Raw genomic sequence first — 18,612 nt, forward strand, 5'->3', positions numbered from 1 at the left:
TTTTACATGATACAGTTCAATTTCTGAAAATGCTAAGTGCATGACTATATTGGAAAGTTGTTTATACTGATAAAAATTCTGCTTACCAGACTTTCCAGTGCCAGAGATGAACAACCTGAATCGCTGATCAATACGTAGTTTACATTCTGTATTGGCTTCTTTCCTTCCTCTATGTGATTCATTTAAGAAAAAGTTTATTGTTTACACAAGCTGTGTGTGTTTGGCCTGAGAGATGCTGTACGGGATTGAACACATAGCTCATCCATTGGGTCTCTTGTTGTCCTCGGCGGGATCTGATGTGTCCTTGTTGAGGCTGCTCATTGGTGTCTCCTGTCCCACTGGCTCCAGCCTTCCTGACTTACTAAAGAACTCGCCACAGTTTGGAAATGTTTGTTTTACATGTGACCTGTGTAACATCTCTCCAGCTGGGGAGTTTCAGTACTTGCCTTTAATAATCCATAGATAGGCGCTTGTAAAGCCAGCTACTTGGGAGAGTGAGGAAGGAGAATCACTTGAACCTGGGAGGTGGAGCTTGCGGTGAGCTGAGATCGTGCCACTGCATTCCAGTCTGGGTGACAGAGAGAGACTCCGTTTCAGGAAAAAAAAAAAAATCCACACATAATGTTTCTTGCTCACTTTCACAAGAGGTGGCTGGGCGAGGAGCTGTCCCCATTCCTCCTCTGGGATGGTCACTGTGCTGGTCTGTTGGGCCCTGCAGGTTCTCCAGCTCTATCAGATCACCCAGATCAATCATGGCCTGATGATGGTGGGGCCCTCGGGAAGTGGGAAGAGCATGGCCTGGCGTGTCCTGCTGAAGGCATTGGAGAGACTCGAGGGTGTGGAAGGTGTGGCCCATATCATCGACCCCAAGGCCATCAGCAAAGACCACCTCTACGGAACCCTGGACCCCAACACCAGGGAATGGACAGATGGGCTCTTCACACACGTGCTGAGAAAGTACGTCTTCTTTGATCTGTGTTTGTGTTCTCCTGGATATGGGCGCTAAGTACTTTGCTCTCACAAGAGCAGAGTATACGTTATTTTTCAACCAAAGTCTGAGCAAATTAAAGGTCATTTCAGAAACCATCATCGGTAAACATGCCTAATGTTAAAATCTTGATTTAATCAGCAGCTATTTTAAAATCCTTCCCAACCAGGATCATCGACAGCGTGAGAGGCGAGCTGCAGAAGCGCCAGTGGATCGTCTTCGATGGCGATGTGGATCCAGAGTGGGTTGAGAACTTGAACTCAGTGCTGGATGACAATAAGCTCCTAACTTTGCCCAATGGAGAGCGCCTCAGTCTTCCACCCAATGTAAGTAGCCTTTTGTATGTCGTCAACTGAATAATTCCTTTTGGCCAACTAAACTTCGTGTGCTAGCTAAGTGCAGCTCTGGAGTCATGGACCCAGATTCCATGGAGTAGTGATCATTGTGTAAGTAATTTTCAAAGATAGCATCTCAACTGCTAGATTTTTTTTCCATTTCCATGGCTAGTGAGAAACATTTTAATAGGTTTTATTGATGGCTTTCTATCATTTATTGAGTAATAAGCACACTCTATGATTATCAGTTAACCCTGTATGGTGGGGTTGTCGTTAAGGTTTCTTAAGCTGTTATACATCTAGAGAGCTGGGAAAATGAGAAATTTGGAATGGGGCTTTCTAGGCTGTCCCTTGGAAAATGAGTGCATGATGCAGGTGCCTGACAACACCTACTGATCAGTAAACACAGTCAGGCCCGGTATGGATTTGCACTGAGTCAGACCCTGTTCTAGATGCTGAAAATACAGCAGTAAGAAAGCAAGAAGACAGGCCGGGCGCGGTGGCTCACGCCTGTAATCCCAGCACTTTGGGAGGCCGAGGCAGGCGGATCACAAAGTCAGGAGATTGAGACCATTCTGGCTAACATGATGAAACCCCATCTCTACTAAAAATACAAAAAATTAGCGGGGCATGGTGGTGGGTGCCTGTAGTCCCAGCTACTCAAGAGGCTGAGGCAGGAGAATGGCATGAACCTGGGAGGCGGATGTTGCAGTGAGCCGAGATCGCGCCACTGCACTGCAGCCTGGGCGACAGAGAGAGACTCCGTCTCAAAAAAAAAAAAAAAAAAAAAAAAGGCAGGAAGACAAAAGCCCTTGCTCACGTGTGATGCAATTGGACAAACAAAATGAATAGTGATTGGTGCAAAGAAAAAAATGGAAAGCGAGCTGTCAGGTGTTGGTGGGGGTTGGAGGTTAAAATGTGAAGCCTTCCCTGAGAACGTAGTTTGAGCAGACACTTAGGGGAGTGAGGGAGTAGGTCCCAAGTCTCCCAAGTATTCTGGGCAAAGGAACACACAGCAGGAGTAGCAGGTCTGGGACAGGGGGCCGGTGTACTTGAGGACAGCAAGGGGCAGTCGGCTGAAGCGGAGAGGACTGGGGAGGACAAGTCAGGGCTGAGACTAGAGAGGAAACGAGCCAGGTCAGGGGCCTAGGAGGTCATTGTCGGGGGTGTGAGTTTGTACACTGGGCAAGCTGGGATCCATGGAGCAGCCTGGACAGGAGCGATGTTGCCTGATGTATGTCCATGAAGATCCGTCTGGCTGCCGTTTGGAGAATGAAGAGGGCAGGGTGAAAGCCAGGAGGCCAGTTGGAGACTGCCTCAGACCTCCAGGCACCAGGGACGGGGCGAGCTGGCAGCAGCGAAGGTGCTGAGAGGTGACTGACTATGGCTGGAGTTTAAAGCATGCGTGGGATTTGCTGATGGACTAGATGTGGGTGTGAGGGAAAGGAATCAAGGATGATGCGAGGTTTCTGGCCTGATCAGCTTATGAGCCTTTAACAACAAGGCTTAGGATTGGTATTTATCTCAGCTTCAGGAGCCAGCCATGGATTCTTAGTACTGTCTGAAAGTGTGCACTTACTCCAACAACTCAAGTTCCTCTCTGACAGCTGATCCAGTAGAGTCTAACTTGTCAGAGGAGATTAATCTCCTTGTGAGGCAATTACAGCTCCGAGGTTAAGGCTCTGGAGTCCGACCACCTGCTTTGAATCTCAACCACTTACTAGCAGTGGGACCCCAGCAAGTCACCTGCGCCATCTTTAAACTGGAGGTGAGGCTGGGCATGGTGGTTCGTGCCTGTCATCCCAGTACTTTGGGAGGCCAAGGCAGGTGGATCATCTGTGGTTAGGAGTTTGAGACCAACCTGACCAACATGATGAAACCCCGTCTCTACTAAAATGACAAAAAATTAGCTGGCGTGGTGGCGCATACCTGTAATCCCAGCTACTCAGGAGGCTGAGACAGGAGAATTGCTTGAACCCGGGAGGCATTGCAGTGAGCTGAGATCACGCCATTGCATTCGAGCCTGGGCAACAGGAGCAAAACTCCATCTCAAAAAAAAAAAAAAACACCAGAGACGACAGCGTGCCTGCCTGGTCAGGTTATGTGAGACTGGAGGGATCCACGCCCGGTGCGCACCCAGGACACAGTCACTGCTGACATCACACTTGGAGGGGCTGTTGCTTCTGTGCCCTCAAGAACAGTGGGAAACCTTAAACAAGGTGGTTTGCCCTATTCTTCTCCCTGCCACACACACTTGTCCTGCCCAGATTCCTGTAGAGAGAATGGTGAATACTGTAGTGATGTGAGCTGTAGGTGTTTTTTGTTTTTTTTACATAAGTGCAGAAAAAATTTTTTTGAGACAGGTTTTCACTGTAACCCAGGCTAGAGTGCAGTGGCATGATCTCAGCTCACTGCAGCCTCCACCTCCCAGGCTCAAGTGATTCTTCTCCCTCAGCCTCCCAAGTAGCTGCAATTACAGGCACACGCCACCATGCCTGGCTACTTTCTGTATAGGAAAATTAAGTTTAAAGTCACCCTTTCAGTGTATATATAGGTAAAAGAATCTTAATGTCCAGGTTTCTTCCAAACCTATGTCATTAAATCTGCTTAATGTTTTCTTTCAAGGTGAGAATAATGTTTGAGGTACAGGACTTGAAATACGCGACCTTGGCCACAGTGTCGCGCTGCGGCATGGTCTGGTTCAGTGAGGATGTGCTGAGCACCGACATGATCTTCAACAACTTCCTGGCCAGGCTGCGCAGCATCCCGCTGGATGAAGGGGAGGATGAGGCACAGCGGCGGCGTAAGGGCAAAGAGGATGAGGGGGAGGAGGCCGCTTCCCCCATGCTGCAGGTACGCCCAGGTGGGACCCCACATATCATGACCTGAGGGTGCTAGGATATTCAGATGTGGTCTCGCTGTGTTGCCCACGCTGGTCTTGAACTCCTGGGCCCAAGCAATCCACCTGCCTTGGCCTCTCAAAGTGCTGGGATTACAGGCATGAGTCACTGTACCCAGCCAACTTTTGTGTAATCAATGTTGTCTTCTGCCAGCTTAAACAAGGAAGCCCAGCTGTAGCAGCTACAAATGTTAAAAGTCACGTATGGGAAAATTTAAAGAATTCTTTTCATTATCTTACTTTTCTCTACAAATTGATGAAAGACTGCCCTTTTCCATGTTCAGTGGGAAAACCAAAGTTCCTGGGAAGCAGGGTTTTTGAGAACCACCAGGGTGAAGGAATGAGGACTGGTCATTGAAGCTTCATCCAAAATGAGTTTTCCAAGGTCGTATGACCTTCTCCTGGGACCAGGTTAGAATCGATGAAACTCGCCTGCCTTTTGAAAGATAGTTAAGTATCACTCCTTCCACTTTCTAGATCCAAAGAGATGCAGCTACGATCATGCAACCGTACTTCACGTCCAACGGCCTGGTCACCAAGGCGCTAGAGCACGCCTTCCAGCTGGAGCACATCATGGACCTAACACGCCTGCGCTGCCTGGGCTCGCTCTTCTCCATGCTGCACCAGGCCTGCCGCAACGTGGCGCAGTATAACGCCAACCATCCCGACTTCCCCATGCAGATCGAGCAGCTGGAGCGCTACATTCAGGTCAGGGGGCATCAGGGGCTTCACAGAGCTCACCACTGCGCCAGACCACAGGTCTGAGGACCTCTGAAATGCTGCACCTGTGGGGATGTGCGCTCTCTCCTAGGCGAGGCAGAGCCTTCGTTGAGGGGCTAGGAAAGGTGCAGTGGGTGTCTGTGATGCAAGAAGACTGGGAACCACTGTCTTTAGGTTAACTTTGCTGTAAGTGTCTTTCTTTTGTTGTTGAAATTTTATAAAAATCAAAGTTTAATTCCCTTTTTAATAGCGATATCTGGTTTATGCCATACTCTGGTCCCTGTCTGGAGACAGCCGGCTAAAAATGAGAGCAGAGCTGGGTGAATACATCAGAAGAATCACGACCGTGCCTCTGCCCACTGCGCCCAACATACCCATTATCGATTATGAGGTGAGCATGCAGCTACCACCCGTGTTTCTGATTCTCGCCTTGTTGATTTAACTCATCCTGGAACAAGCTGACCATGGACCTTGGCTTCGTCTTTTCATTTTATTCCATTTCATAGAAGGACTTTATCCTTTTAGTTCCATGTGTTAGCAAAGAGTGCAGATTAACCTGACCAATTACTTCCTTGTTCTGAAAGTTCAAGTTTGTGTTCAGGTAAACAAACCTCGTGAGGAGGCACCTTGGTTGCAGCCGGACTCACACTTCCATCTCCGTGTGTAGGTGTCCATCAGCGGAGAATGGTCTCCGTGGCAGGCCAAGGTGCCTCAGATTGAAGTGGAGACGCACAAGGTGGCAGCCCCTGATGTCGTCGTGCCAACGCTGGACACAGTCCGCCACGAAGCCCTCTTGTACACTTGGCTGGCCGAACACAAGCCCCTGGTCTTGTGTGGCCCTCCTGGGTCTGGCAAGACCATGACACTCTTCAGCGCCCTCCGGGCCTTGCCTGACATGGAGGTAAAGAGGCCAGGAGGTGGGCAGCAGACCTTTTGGTGCTGAGCATGGGGTTGGTCTTACAGTGTGGTTTTGTGTCTTCCCTCCAAAGGTGGTGGGTCTCAACTTCTCCAGTGCTACTACTCCAGAGCTGCTTCTGAAGACTTTTGATCACTACTGCGAGTACAGGCGCACACCTAATGGGGTGGTTTTGGCTCCTGTTCAACTTGGAAAGTGGCTGGTGTTGTTCTGTGATGAAATCAACTTGCCAGATATGGATAAATATGGGACCCAGAGGGTCATATCCTTCATCAGACAGGTTTGTTTCTATCCACAAGGCCCTTCCTGCCCCACAATGTTTCTTGTTCAAGTTTTGCTCTTAATGTGGTACCTGTCCCTTCCTTCAGATGGTGGAGCACGGAGGCTTTTACCGTACCTCAGATCAAACATGGGTGAAGCTGGAGAGAATCCAGTTTGTTGGGGCTTGTAATCCCCCCACAGACCCTGGAAGAAAGCCCCTCTCACACAGGTAAAACAGCTCGGTAGACTGCTCTGCTTCACACACGCACAGCTCCAGGATTGCTGTAAACACAGCGCCACAAAAACCTGGTTTTGATAATAAAGACAACAATACTGCTTATTGTGGATTCCTCTTGGGTTACTTCTCTGTGCTGTAATGCCAGGAAAACATGTTAAAAATAAAAGCATTGGCCGGGCGCAGTGGCTTACGCCTATAATCCCAGCACTTTGGGAGGCCGAGGCGGGCGGATCACGAGGTCAGGAGATTGAGACCATCCTGGCCAACACAGTGAAACCTCGTCTCTACTGAAAATACAAAAACAAAATTAAGGCCGGGCGTGGTGGCTTACGCCTGTAATCCCAGCACTTTGGGAGGCCGAAGCGGGCAGATCACGAGGTCAGGAGGTTGAGGCCATCCTGGCTAACACGGTGAAACCCCATCTCTACTAAAAATACAAAAAATTAGCCAGGCATGGTGGCAGGTGCCTGTAGTCCCAGCTACTTGGGAGGCTGAGGCAGCAGAATGGTGTGAACCTGGGAGGTGGAGCTTGCAGTGAGCTGAGATCGCACCACTGCACTCCAGCCTGGGCAACAGAGCAAGACTCCATCTCAAAATAAATAAATAAATAAAATAAAATGAAATAAAAGCATTGATCTCTTGGTAGTGATGAACTGCTCCAGACTCATCTGTAGAGCCAAGATGAGCCTGAAATAAGCCTTGGTTATTTTTTCATCTTTGCTGGTTTTTCAAGTGTTTTCCATCGACTGTTGTGTGTCAGACCCCAAGCCTGAGCAGCGTGTGTGTGATCTCAGCTAACACTGATGTCAAGTCTGCATAGCTGGGTTAGGAAGCGACCTCCAGACAGGGCCCTGGACAGGGCGACTCCACTGGCACACTGCCCCTTCCTGGGAGGCGCTGTCAGGGAGGGGCGCTGAGCGGGGCTATCTGTGCACAGGTTCCTGCGCCACGTGCCTGTCGTGTATGTGGATTACCCGGGCCCCGCCTCCCTCACACAGATCTACGGCACCTTCAACCGCGCCATGCTGAGGCTCATTCCATCCCTGCGGACGTATGCAGAGCCGCTCACTGCTGCCATGGTGGAGTTCTACACCATGTCTCAGGTACGCAGAGTTTCTTTGCTCTTCCAGAAATTGTTTTCCTCTCATAATTAAGGCACTCGATTGGTCAGGTGTGGTGGTTCACACCTGTAATCCCAGCATTTTGGGAGGCCAAGGTGGGTGGATCCTTTGAGCCCAGGAGTTTGAGACCAGTCTGGACAACATGGCAAAACCCTGTCTCTACAAAAAATAGGTGGGCGTGGTGGTGCATGCTTGTAATGTCAGCTTCCCAGGAGGCTGAGGTGGGAGAGTTGCTTGAACCTGGAGGCAGAGCTTACGATGAGCCATGATTGTGCCACTGCACCAGCCTGGGTGACAGAGTGAGACTCTACCTCAAAATAAAATGAGAAGTTTATTGAAATAAAGATTGGACTTTATTCAGAGATGTTATTGAGCCGAGAGACTTTCTCCAAGGTCTGTCATCAAAGTCACTTTTCTATGCAGGTGCTAAGACTGCTGACATTTCCATGCTTAATCATTATCCTATGCATGTGTATGTATGTGTATATGATGAAAATAGAGCCATACAGTTTCTAAATGTATATAAAGGCTGCATATCTGCCAGATTGCTCTCAAGATGGTTGGACCAGCTACGCCTCCACCAGCAGCACCCGCTTCCCTGTATTCTGCAACATTTAAAAAATAGTCATTAACAAAAATGTCTTTGCCCATTTGGTGAGAAATGACTCTCGTTGCTATTTGCATTTCTCTGTTGAGCCTCCCATGGAGCCGCTGGCTGCGGGGGATGAGTGGGAGCCGCCAACTGCCCTGCTGTGTCTCCCTCGCTCTTCATGCTTTGGGACAGCTTTCTTGTCATAGGTGGCAGATGCTTTTTCCCAGTATTTAATTTGCTTTTAAGTATTTTCAGAAGGATTTTTTGTAGTTTCATTGTTTAAATATTTAAATCGTTAAATATAATGTATTTCAGCATAAAGTGAGCAGCTTGAATCTAACTTTGTTCTGGACAGTTATTTATCCAATTGTTCCAACATTGTTTACTCATTTGGAGACGGAGTCTCACTCTGTCGCCAAGGCTGGAATGCAGTGGCGCAGTCTCGGCTCACTGCAACCTCCGCCTCCTGGGTTCAAGCGATTCTTCTGCCTCAGCCTCCCTAGTAGCTGGGACTACAGGCACCCACCACCATGTCCAGCTATCTTCTTAAATATTTCAGGGTCTAGGTTCTTTAATGTAAACATGTTTTGCCACATTTTACCTTTTGACCACTTCTCTGTGTCTTAAGATATTTACGTGTACCTTCCATTTTTCTCATTGCCATAGGAGAGATTCACCCAGGATACACAACCTCACTATATCTATTCACCCCGTGAAATGACTAGGTGGGTGAGAGGCATCTTTGAAGCGCTGAGACCTCTGGAGACCCTGCCTGTTGAAGGCCTCATTCGGATTTGGGCACATGAAGCTCTGCGTCTCTTCCAAGATAGGTAAGGGAAGCCGAGGATCCAGTTGGTCCCATTCTCCCCTGCTCTGAGTTCTTACAGCTGTCGAAGCTGGGGTCTTTGCAGGGGTGGTCTGCCTAAGTTAGAGCCAGGTGGTGCCAGTGGTGGAAGGAGCAGAGTCAGCCAGGGCAGCCTCCCGTCTGGACACTGGTCACAGTTGCCCCAGGGTAACAAAGTCACAGTGCGCTGAATGCACCGGCTGGCCCACCACTGTCTGCTTACACAAGGCACTTTCATAAACCTTGTGGCTGTGAACAGGGTACTTTTTTTTTTAAAGATACATCATAGAAGTCAAAAAACGGGGCACTTTAATAAACCTTTTAAACTGTCAGGTGGGACCACAAAAGGTAGCAGCTGCCTGTGATAACCTTACCAGAGCACGGGTTCACTGCTGAGTTAAAAGGTCTCCCAACAACTGCCCAGTGTGCGTGTTCCGTAACCACCACCCCTCTTCCTGTTTCTCAGTCTGTGTTCTCATCAAAGGCTTTGCAGCTGCAGCTCTGGGGCACTGGTTTTCTCTTTTACCTGTTGCCCACTTGGATCAATTCTTGTCTTGTAAGTTTTGAGTTTTTCTAGTTAAGTGACCAATACTTAAGGGAAAAAATTGCTAACGGATGACTGATCGGCATCAACTGTGGAAGGTTTTGTGGTTTGAATTGCAGTAAGATGACTTGGCAGATGGTTCCCTCCAGACTAAGAAATGCTTAAGTGTTTGGCAGCTGTGCCTCTGGACCAGGTGTCATCCTGCAGTTTTTCCTGTCATTACTGTACAAGGAGTCTCAGAATACTGCCTAGTTGTAATCACTGGGTTTCCAACCCGAGTCCTTGGCATTCTTGGGCAACACCGGGTACATTACTGACAGCCACTGTAAGAGATGAGCAGGCAAGGCAGAGTGCAGAGTATGTTGGCTGTGGCAGCCCTGTTTTTATTTCTTATTGGAGTTCTGCTGCTTTTTAAACAGTCTTTTGTTATTGTTGCTATGTCAGCTACCTTCACTCTCCCCTTTTCAATTAAAAAAAAATTGGCTGGGCATAGTGGTTCACATCTATAATCCCAGCACTTTGGAAGGTCGAGGCAGGAGGATCATTGAGCCCAGGAGTTCAAGGCCAGCCTGACCAACATAGTGAGACCCCCATCTCTACAAAAAATAAAAAATTAGCCAGGTGTGGTGACGTGTACCTGTAGTCCCAGCTACTTGGGAGGCTGAGACAGGAAGATCGATTGAGCCTGGGAGGCTGCAGCTACAGTGAGCCATGATCGTGCCACTGCATTCCAGCCTGAGTGACAGAGCAAGACCCTGTCTCCCACAATATAGTTTTCACAGATTTCTAGTACCACAGAGAATTTTGTTTAAATTCAAATGTCGCAACAGCAGTTGTGCTTACAAATTCAGATTGGCTTCAGTAAGTATATACCTGCCTTCACTAGACCCTCACCTGGTAGCCTGCATAGGAGATCTTACAGTCAGCTTCTCAAAAGGTCCTCACACAGCAGCGCAGTCACAGTCTCGCCTGCTTGCCTTGTAGTAAGTCTTACACCTCTAAAACTACACACATCACAGTTCCCATTTCTTTTTTCTTTTTCTTTTTTTTTTTTTTTTTTTTGAGACAAGAGTCTCGCTTTGTCACCCAGGCTAGAGTGCAATGGCATGATCTCAGCTCACTGCAATCTCCGTCTCCTGGGTTCAAAGCAATTCTTGTGCCCCAGCCCCCAGAGTAGCTGGGATTACAGACATGTGCCACCACGCCTGGCTGATTTTTATATTTTTAGTAGAGACAGGGTTTCACCACATTGGCCAGGCTAGTCTTGAACTCCTGACTTAAAGTGATCCGCCTGCCTCTGCCCTCCCAGAGTGCTGGGATTACAGCTTGAGACCAGCATAGCGAAACCCCATCTCTACTAAAAATACAAAAATTAGCTGGGCATGGTAGCATATGCCTGTAATCCCAGCTACTGAGGAGGCTGAGGCAGGAGAATCGCTTGAACCTGGGAAGCAGAGGTTGCAGTGAGCCAAGATCGCGCCACTGCACTTCAGCCTGGGCAACAGAGTGAGACTCTGTAAGTAAGTAAGTAAGTAAGATCGCGCCACTGCACTTCAGCCTGTTGCCAGGCTGTAAGTAAGTAAGTAAGAGTGAGACTCTGGGCTGGGCGAGGTGGCTCACGCCTGTAATCCCAGCACTTTGGGAGGCCGAGGCGGGCGGATCACGAGGTCAGGAGATCGAGACCATCCTGGCTAACACGATGAAACCCCATCTCTACTAAAAATACAATTAAAAAAAAAAAATTAGCCAGCCTTGGTGGCGGGCGCCTGTAGTCCCAGCTACTCAGGAGGCTGAGGCAGGAGAATGGTATGAACCCGGGAGGCGGAGCTTGCAGTGAGCCAAGATAGTGCCAGTGCACTCCAGCCTTGGCGACAGAGAGAGACTCCGTCTCAAAAAAAAAAAAAAAAGTGAGACTCTGTAAGTAAGTAAGTAAATAAATAAATAAATAAAATTTCAGGTTGCCTAAGCTGTCATGAGTTCAGCTTTTAGGTTCATCCATGCATAGTAAAGGAAGATGTGTGATAAAGACTGACTGCATCCTTTGGAAGAGCCCACAGCACCCACAAACATGGTGAACATGGTGCTTCTTCACCGTGCCCTCTAGTTACCTAAATGCACATGCTGCTCTCCCCACAGACTCGTAGAGGATGAGGAGAGGCGTTGGACTGATGAGAACATCGACACGGTTGCTCTGAAGCACTTCCCTAACATCGACAGAGAGAAGGCAATGAGCCGACCCATCTTGTACAGCAACTGGCTGTCAAAGGTAGCAAACTCGCATCATTTCAGACATACTTCTTTTTCTGCCATCCCTTTCTAACACTAACGAATTCTAACGAATTATCTTCTACTCAAAAATATCTTTAGGCTGGGTATGGTGTCTCACACCTGTAATCCCAGCACTTTGGGAGGCTGAGGCAGGAGGATCACTTGATCCCAGGAGTTTGAGACCAGCCTGGGCAACATAGTAAGACTCCACCTCTACAAAAAAATTTGAAAATTTAGCCAGGCAAGGTAACTCACGCCTATGGTCCCAGCAACTTGGGAGGCTTGAGCCCAGGAAGTCACAGTGAGCTGTGGTCACACCACCATACTGCAGCCTGGGTAAAAGAGCAAAACCCTGTTTCAAAAAATACTTCAGAAAACAAAATATCAGCCGGGCGCGGTGGCTCATGCCTGTAATCCCAGCACTTTGGGAGGCTGAGGCGGTGGATCACCTGAGGTCGGGAGTTCGAGACCAGCCTGACCTACATGGAGAAACCCCATCTCTACTAAAAATACAAAATTAGCTGGGCGTGGTGACGCATGTCTGTAATCCCAGCTATTTAGGAGGCTGAGGCAGGAGAATCTTTGGAACCCGGGAGGCAGAAGTTGCGGTGAGCTGAGATCGCGCCATTGCACTGCAGCCTCAGCAACAAGAGCGAAACTCTGTCTCAAAGAAAAAAAAAATACAGCGAGGTGCAATGGCACACGCCTGTAATCCCAGCACTTTGGGAGGCCAAGGCAGGCAGATCACTTGAGGTCAGGGGTTCGAGACCAGCCTGGACAACATGCTGAAACTCCATCTCTACTAAAAAGACAAAAATTAGCCAGGCATGGTGGCATGTGCCTGTAATCCCAGCTACTCAGGAGTCTGAGAATCGCTTGAACCCGGGAGACAGAGGTTGCAGTGAGCCAAGGTCACGCCACTGCACTCCAGCCTGGGCAACAGAGTGAGATTCCGTCTCAAAAAAAGAATAAAAACTTAAAAAGAGTCCAGCTTGGGTAACAAAGTGAGACCTTACCTCAAAAAAACACTTAAAAAACAAGAAAAATCTCTTTGTCCTAAAATGCACTATAAAATAGGCTGCGGTTACAGCAGTGATGTGCTACGGGTTTGCAGTCACTGATACTTTAGGGCAGGAATTCCCAGGAGTATGGCTGGCTGGCTGCTGTTGGGGTTCTGACTTCTGTGTGAGGGTCGAGCCATTGGATTTCCAGCCGGTGGAAGGTGTTGCTTCAGCGGGTTTGCAGTGAAAGAAATCTTTGCTTCACAAATTTGTTTTCACATTCCTCACACTGAAAATAGGACAATTGTGAATAACTTGTGTGAAAATGTTTCATATGCTAAAATGCTAGATGGAGTTCACCTCTCCAGAATAGCTGTGAGTTGTCCTTTTTCTCTGCAAAGGATGAGGACGTTTACCGAGTTACAGTCTTGACATGCATTTCATTGAGGAGCCCCAGGTGATAGACGTGAGTAAGAGCTTCCTTTAGGCAGCTCCCACTCCAGTGGAGGAAAGAGCAGGACAGAGGGAGATAACTCAGGCTGGGAAGAGATTTCTGGGAGAATGACCCTTGCACTGGTCTTCGTGTGTTTAGGTCTTCTGAATGGCTTTCAGTGAAGTTCAGCTTTCTCCAGAAAGGTTCACCACGTCAGGGAGGGCATACAAGGCAGAGCGCCTGATAGGAGCTGGGAGTAGTAAGGTGGGTGTGTTCAATATTGGTAGAATTTTCTATATATTTTAAGACTCTAGGTACCCATTCTTTTTCATTTACAGGAAACTTCTCCCTGTGGCTTATCTTTTTTTTTTAACTCTTTTTTTTTTTTTTTTTTTGGAGATGGAGTCTCGCTCTGTCGCCCAGGCTAGAGTGCAGTGGTGCTTTCTCGGCTCACTGCAAGCTCCGCCTCCTGGGTTCACCCCAGTCTCCTGCCTCAGCCTCCCAAGTAGCTGGGACTACAGGTGCCCGCCACCACGCCCAGCTAATTTTTTGTATTTTTAGTAGAGATGGGGTTTCACCGTGTTAGCCAGGATGGTCTCGATCTCCTGACCTCGTGATCAGCCCATCTCGGCCTCCCAAAGTGCTGGGATTACAGGCATGAACCACTGCACCCAGCCATTTTTTTACTCTTTATAAGGTCTTTTGAAGAACAAACGTTCTTAAAGATGTATCTTTCAGGCTGGGCACAGTGGCTCACGCCTGTAATCCCAACACTTTGGGAGGCCAAGGTGGGCGGATCACCTGAGGTCAGGAGTTCGAGACCAGCCTGCCCAACGTGGTGAAACCCCGTCTCGCCGAGGCAGGTGGATCACGAGGTCAGGAGTTCAAGACCAGCCTTACCAACATGGTGAAAACCCATCTCTACTAAAAATACAAAAATTAGCCGGGTGCGGTACTGCATGCCTGTAATCTCAGCTACTCAGGAGGCTGAGGCAGGAGAATCACTTAAACCTGGGAGGCAGAGGTTGCAGTGAGCCGAGATCGCGCCATTGCACTCTAGCCTGGGCGACAGAGGGAGACTCTGTCTCAAAAAAAAAAAAAAATTGCCAGGTATGGTGGCGTGTGCCTATAGTCCCAGCTACTTGAGAGGCAGGAGAATCACTTGAACCCAGGAGGCAGAGGTTGCAGTGAGCTGAGATCAGGCCACTGCACTCTAGCCTGGGTGACAGAGTGAGACCCTGTCTCAAGGAAAAAAAAAAAAAAAAAAAAGATGTATCTTTGAAACTCTTAATCACATTTCTAATTGAGTTTGTGTATTGAGTGAGCAGTGGGTCCGTTTTCAGTTCTTTCCTTATGGACACCCATTATCCCAGCAAAGTTTATTAAATAATAATTTACTCTGCAGTATCTGTCTGTCATCATAGTTTCCCTGTGTGCATAGGTATCCGTTAGTTGTTCTCTGTGCTAAAACCACATGGTCCTGATTATGGTAATAAGTCTGTTTAATAGGGCAGGCCCAGGCCAGGTGCGGTGGCTCACGCCTGTAATCCCAGCACTTTGGGAGGCCGAGACCGGCAGATCACAAGGTCAAGAGATCAAGACCATCCTGGCCAACGTGGTGAAACCCGTCTGTACTAAAAATACAAAAATTACCTGGGCATGGTGGTACGTGCCTGTAGTCCCAGCTACTTGGGAGGCTGAGGCAGGAGAATTGCTTGAACCCAGGAGGCGGAGGTTGCAGTGAGCTGAGATCGTGCCACAGCACTCCAGCCTGGTGACAGAGCGAGGCTACAAAAAAAAAAAAAAAAATAGGGCAGGCCCTCACACCTGGTTCTTTTCTGGAGGGATCTTTCCTGTTCCAAATGAAATACAGAAATGGCTTGTCAGGTTGCACCAGGACAATAAGCACCTCCCACCACTGAGATTTTGACTGGGATTACATTGAACTTATGGATGAGTTTGATGGAACTGGCATTTTTATAGTAGAGTGTTTTTTTCCTCCATGATCATGGTATGTCTCTTCATGTATTGAGGTCCTCTTCATTGCCTTTTGGTGAAGTTCAGTTTTCTCTATAAAAGTTTTTCATGTTTTTAGATCCATTCCTAGTGAATTTATATTTTTTTGCTATGTTATAAATGATACCTTTTTTGTTGCATTTTTAACAGTTTCTTCATGGTATGTGGACATACAGTTGACTTTGGTCTAATAACTAACATTTTTTTCTAAGTAATTTGGGTATTACCTTTTTTTCTATAGGATTACATCCCAGTAGACCAAGAAGAGTTAAGAGATTATGTCAAAGCTAGGCTGAAGGTCTTTTATGAAGAAGAACTTGATGTTCCGCTGGTGCTGTTTAATGAAGTCCTAGACCACGTGCTGAGGATTGACAGGTGGGCTTTTTTGTTGTTACAGCCCCACCTCTCGCCTAAGCTGCTCTTGAGTAAGTGTGTGTGCCGGGTCACACCAGGCCTCATGCTGTCCTACCACCTCCACCTCAGCCTTCTCCACCAAGCAGCTTCCCCCTTCTCTTCTTTCTAAGTCCAGCTTAACCATCCTCAGTTTATCCTAAGCAGAACTTCATTCTTCCTCCCCCAGCACTGCATACCTGCCATAATTATGGCCCTTTGACCTTCTGCTGGAATTGCATTAGTCTCTCATGTCAGTCTAGAGGACAGGACCGTGTCTTACTGGTCTTTGCATTCCTCCTGGACTTCACAAATAACAGTTGCTCAGCAAATGTTTAATATACAAGTTCAAGTTAAAACATGTCCAAAATACTGTAGACACTAGATATGAGTCAAAAGGGGAATGAGGCATTATAAGCCTTAACATTGATCAGTTCTCGTAATGTTTCAGAATATTCCGTCAACCTCAAGGCCACTTGCTTCTGATTGGTGTTAGTGGAGCAGGAAAAACTACCCTGTCTCGTTTCGTCGCCTGGATGAACGGTTTGAGTGTGTACCAGATTAAGGTGCGTCTGGTCGGTGGCCTCTTAATCCCAGCAACAGATGTGTGTGCAGAGCTCAGTGAGTAGGAATGGACCTAACTTGCCTCTGCTTCTGTAGGTCCATAGGAAGTACACAGGGGAAGACTTTGATGAAGATCTACGGACAGTGTTGAGACGTTCTGGCTGTAAAAATGAAAAGATAGCATTTATAATGGATGAATCTAATGTGTTAGATTCTGGATTCCTGGAGCGAATGAATACCCTTCTGGCCAATGGAGAGGTAATTAGGTGACGTGTTGCGTTGCATTACGTGTTACCGGGGGACCAGTAAGTCAGCACTGTGCTGTTTCCCAGGTGCCTGGTCTCTTTGAAGGAGACGAGTATGCCACCTTGATGACGCAGTGCAAAGAGGGGGCACAGAAGGAAGGCCTGATGCTGGACTCGCACGAGGAGCTCTACAAGTGGTTCACTAGCCAGGTTATCCGCAACCTCCACGTCGTGTTCACCATGAACCCGTCCTCGGAGGGACTCAAGGACCGGGCAGCTACATCACCAGCACTTTTCAACAGGTACGTGGGCCTTTACTTGGCTCTGGGTCAGGAAAGTCGGTGTCCTTCCAAGGGACAAAGCCTGCCCCTCATAGCTGTCCTGAAACATGGGCCTCTTTCTCAGGTGTGTGTTGAATTGGTTTGGAGACTGGTCCACCGAAGCACTGTATCAGGTTGGCAAAGAATTCACAAGTAAGATGGATCTGGAGAAGCCAAATTACATCGTGCCTGATTACATGCCAGTTGTGTATGATAAGCTGCCGCAGCCACCATCCCATCGGGAAGCCATTGTGAACAGCTGTGTGTTTGTTCATCAGACTCTTCACCAGGTGGGTTCAGTTTTGAGATCAACAGATAAACCACAAAACTAACCATCATGCTAATATAAAACTAAATTGCTATAAAAATAGACCTTAAGGCCAGGTGCAGTGACTCATGCCTGTAATCCCAGCACTTTGGGAGGCCAAGGCGGGAGGATCACTTGAACCCAGGAGTTCAAGACCAGCCTGGGCAACATGGCGAGACCCCATCTCTACAAAAAATACAAAGAAAATTAGCCGGGCATGGTGGTGGGCACCTATAGTCCCAGCTACTCAGGAAGCTGAGGTGGGAGGATCACTTAAGCCCAGGAGGCAGAGGTTATATTGAGCTGAGATCACGGCACTGCAATCCAGCCTGGGCAACAGAGCAAGACCCAGACTCAAAACAACATAAATAGACCTTAGGGCACTTCATGTTTGACATTGTACTGTTATTTGTAAAGGAAATACTTGTTTCTTACCTCTTACCTCTTTAGTAACATCTCATTCTTGTCACTGGGCTGTAAATTCTGGAGCCGTCTAACACTTTAGTGCCCCCACTGACTCTGCCTCTGATAAAATGATCTCCTTTGCCTTTGTCTCCCACTGCTGCTGTATGTTCAGGCCCTTACTCTTTCCTCTAGATCAGGAATCAGCACGCTTTCTCTTTAAAGAGCCAGATCATAAATGTTTTAACCTTTACAGGTGGAGTAGTCTCGGGCACAGCTACTCAGTGCTGCCATTGTAGGGCAAAAGCCTCCAGAGACCATATATAAATGAATGGGTGTGGCTGTGGCCAGTAAAACCTCATTACTGAAAAATGCAAGGCTTGGCCTGCTAACCATGTTTTGCTAATCCTTGCTGTAGATTCTGTGTGATAGAAGAATTCAGTCTACTCCTCCCTCCCAGAAGAGCTTTGTGAAATCCACTCTGAGCTTGTAGGTGTCCTGCTGCCCAGCCCCTGCAGGCCATCTCCATTGCCCTTGGAATGTCGTCCAGCCCTGGCTTCCCCTGGTAGTCTGATCATCTTGCTGTGCTTCAGAAATCAAGGGACCAGAGCAGTTTCTCACATCAGGCCTGCCTTGCCCCTTTCTTGTCATTTCTTACTAATAAAAGGTGGAAGCAGGCTAGCTAACCTTTCTATAGTAACTGACATTTGTGATGCCTTTTCACATAAGTACACCTCTAAAGTTGGTGTAATCACCATCCTCAGTTTAGAGAAGTTAAAGGGCTTAGAGAGGTTTGGAAGTGTAAGGGGTATCTCGAAAGCTCTAAGTGGCTAAGCTGAGGCCCGACTCGAGTGTTCTGGCCCCGAGGGCCAGGCTCCTTCTATCATGTCACACCCATCTGCCAAGGCCAAAATTGTTTTCTGAGGTTAAGTCACAGAGTTTCCTGAAGAGTGAGAAGATGTAACTATTTTCTGAAAGGCGAATGCTCGGCTAGCAAAGCGAGGCGGCAGAACGATGGCCATCACCCCTCGCCACTACCTGGACTTCATCAATCACTATGCCAACCTGTTCCACGAGAAGCGGAGCGAGCTGGAGGAGCAGCAGATGCACTTGAACGTGGGGCTCAGGAAGATCAAAGAGACAGTCGACCAGGTGCGTCACAGGCACAAATTCCTCACGGGAGTGAGCTGCAGTGAGGACCCCTTTCC

The 18,612-nt window shown here is 48.0% G+C and overlaps 1 protein-coding gene across 1 annotated transcript in view, besides 1 other annotated feature; it reads left to right on the top strand.

Moving 5' to 3' along the window:
* Positions 1–18,612, top strand: part of DYNC1H1 (dynein cytoplasmic 1 heavy chain 1) — a 91,871-nt gene that overhangs the window by 46,584 nt on the left and 26,675 nt on the right. The window contains exons 33-49 of the mRNA NM_001376.5: positions 719–957; positions 1,158–1,314; positions 3,949–4,176; positions 4,700–4,930; positions 5,193–5,333; positions 5,610–5,843; positions 5,932–6,138; positions 6,227–6,348; positions 7,295–7,460; positions 8,737–8,900; positions 11,595–11,724; positions 15,418–15,551; positions 16,018–16,132; positions 16,227–16,388; positions 16,463–16,677; positions 16,781–16,985; positions 18,383–18,556. Coding sequence (NP_001367.2) covers positions 719–957; positions 1,158–1,314; positions 3,949–4,176; positions 4,700–4,930; positions 5,193–5,333; positions 5,610–5,843; positions 5,932–6,138; positions 6,227–6,348; positions 7,295–7,460; positions 8,737–8,900; positions 11,595–11,724; positions 15,418–15,551; positions 16,018–16,132; positions 16,227–16,388; positions 16,463–16,677; positions 16,781–16,985; positions 18,383–18,556 — 3,024 coding nt within the window. The remainder of the gene's footprint in view (positions 1–718; positions 958–1,157; positions 1,315–3,948; positions 4,177–4,699; positions 4,931–5,192; positions 5,334–5,609; positions 5,844–5,931; positions 6,139–6,226; positions 6,349–7,294; positions 7,461–8,736; positions 8,901–11,594; positions 11,725–15,417; positions 15,552–16,017; positions 16,133–16,226; positions 16,389–16,462; positions 16,678–16,780; positions 16,986–18,382; positions 18,557–18,612) is intronic.
* Positions 16,166–17,365: an enhancer, noted in NCBI's record as "BRD4-independent group 4 enhancer chr14:102493659-102494858 (GRCh37/hg19 assembly coordinates)". NCBI's record gives its function as "activates an origin of replication core promoter dependent on BRD2, P300/CBP, MED14 and CDK7 cofactors, and independent of BRD4, by STARR-seq in HCT116 cells {active_cell/tissue: HCT116}" and the evidence as "EXISTENCE:reporter gene assay evidence [ECO:0000049][PMID:35650434]".

This window comes from Homo sapiens, chromosome 14 (assembly GCF_000001405.40).
Source record: "Homo sapiens chromosome 14, GRCh38.p14 Primary Assembly".
Classification (NCBI taxonomy): Eukaryota; Metazoa; Chordata; class Mammalia; order Primates; family Hominidae; genus Homo; species Homo sapiens.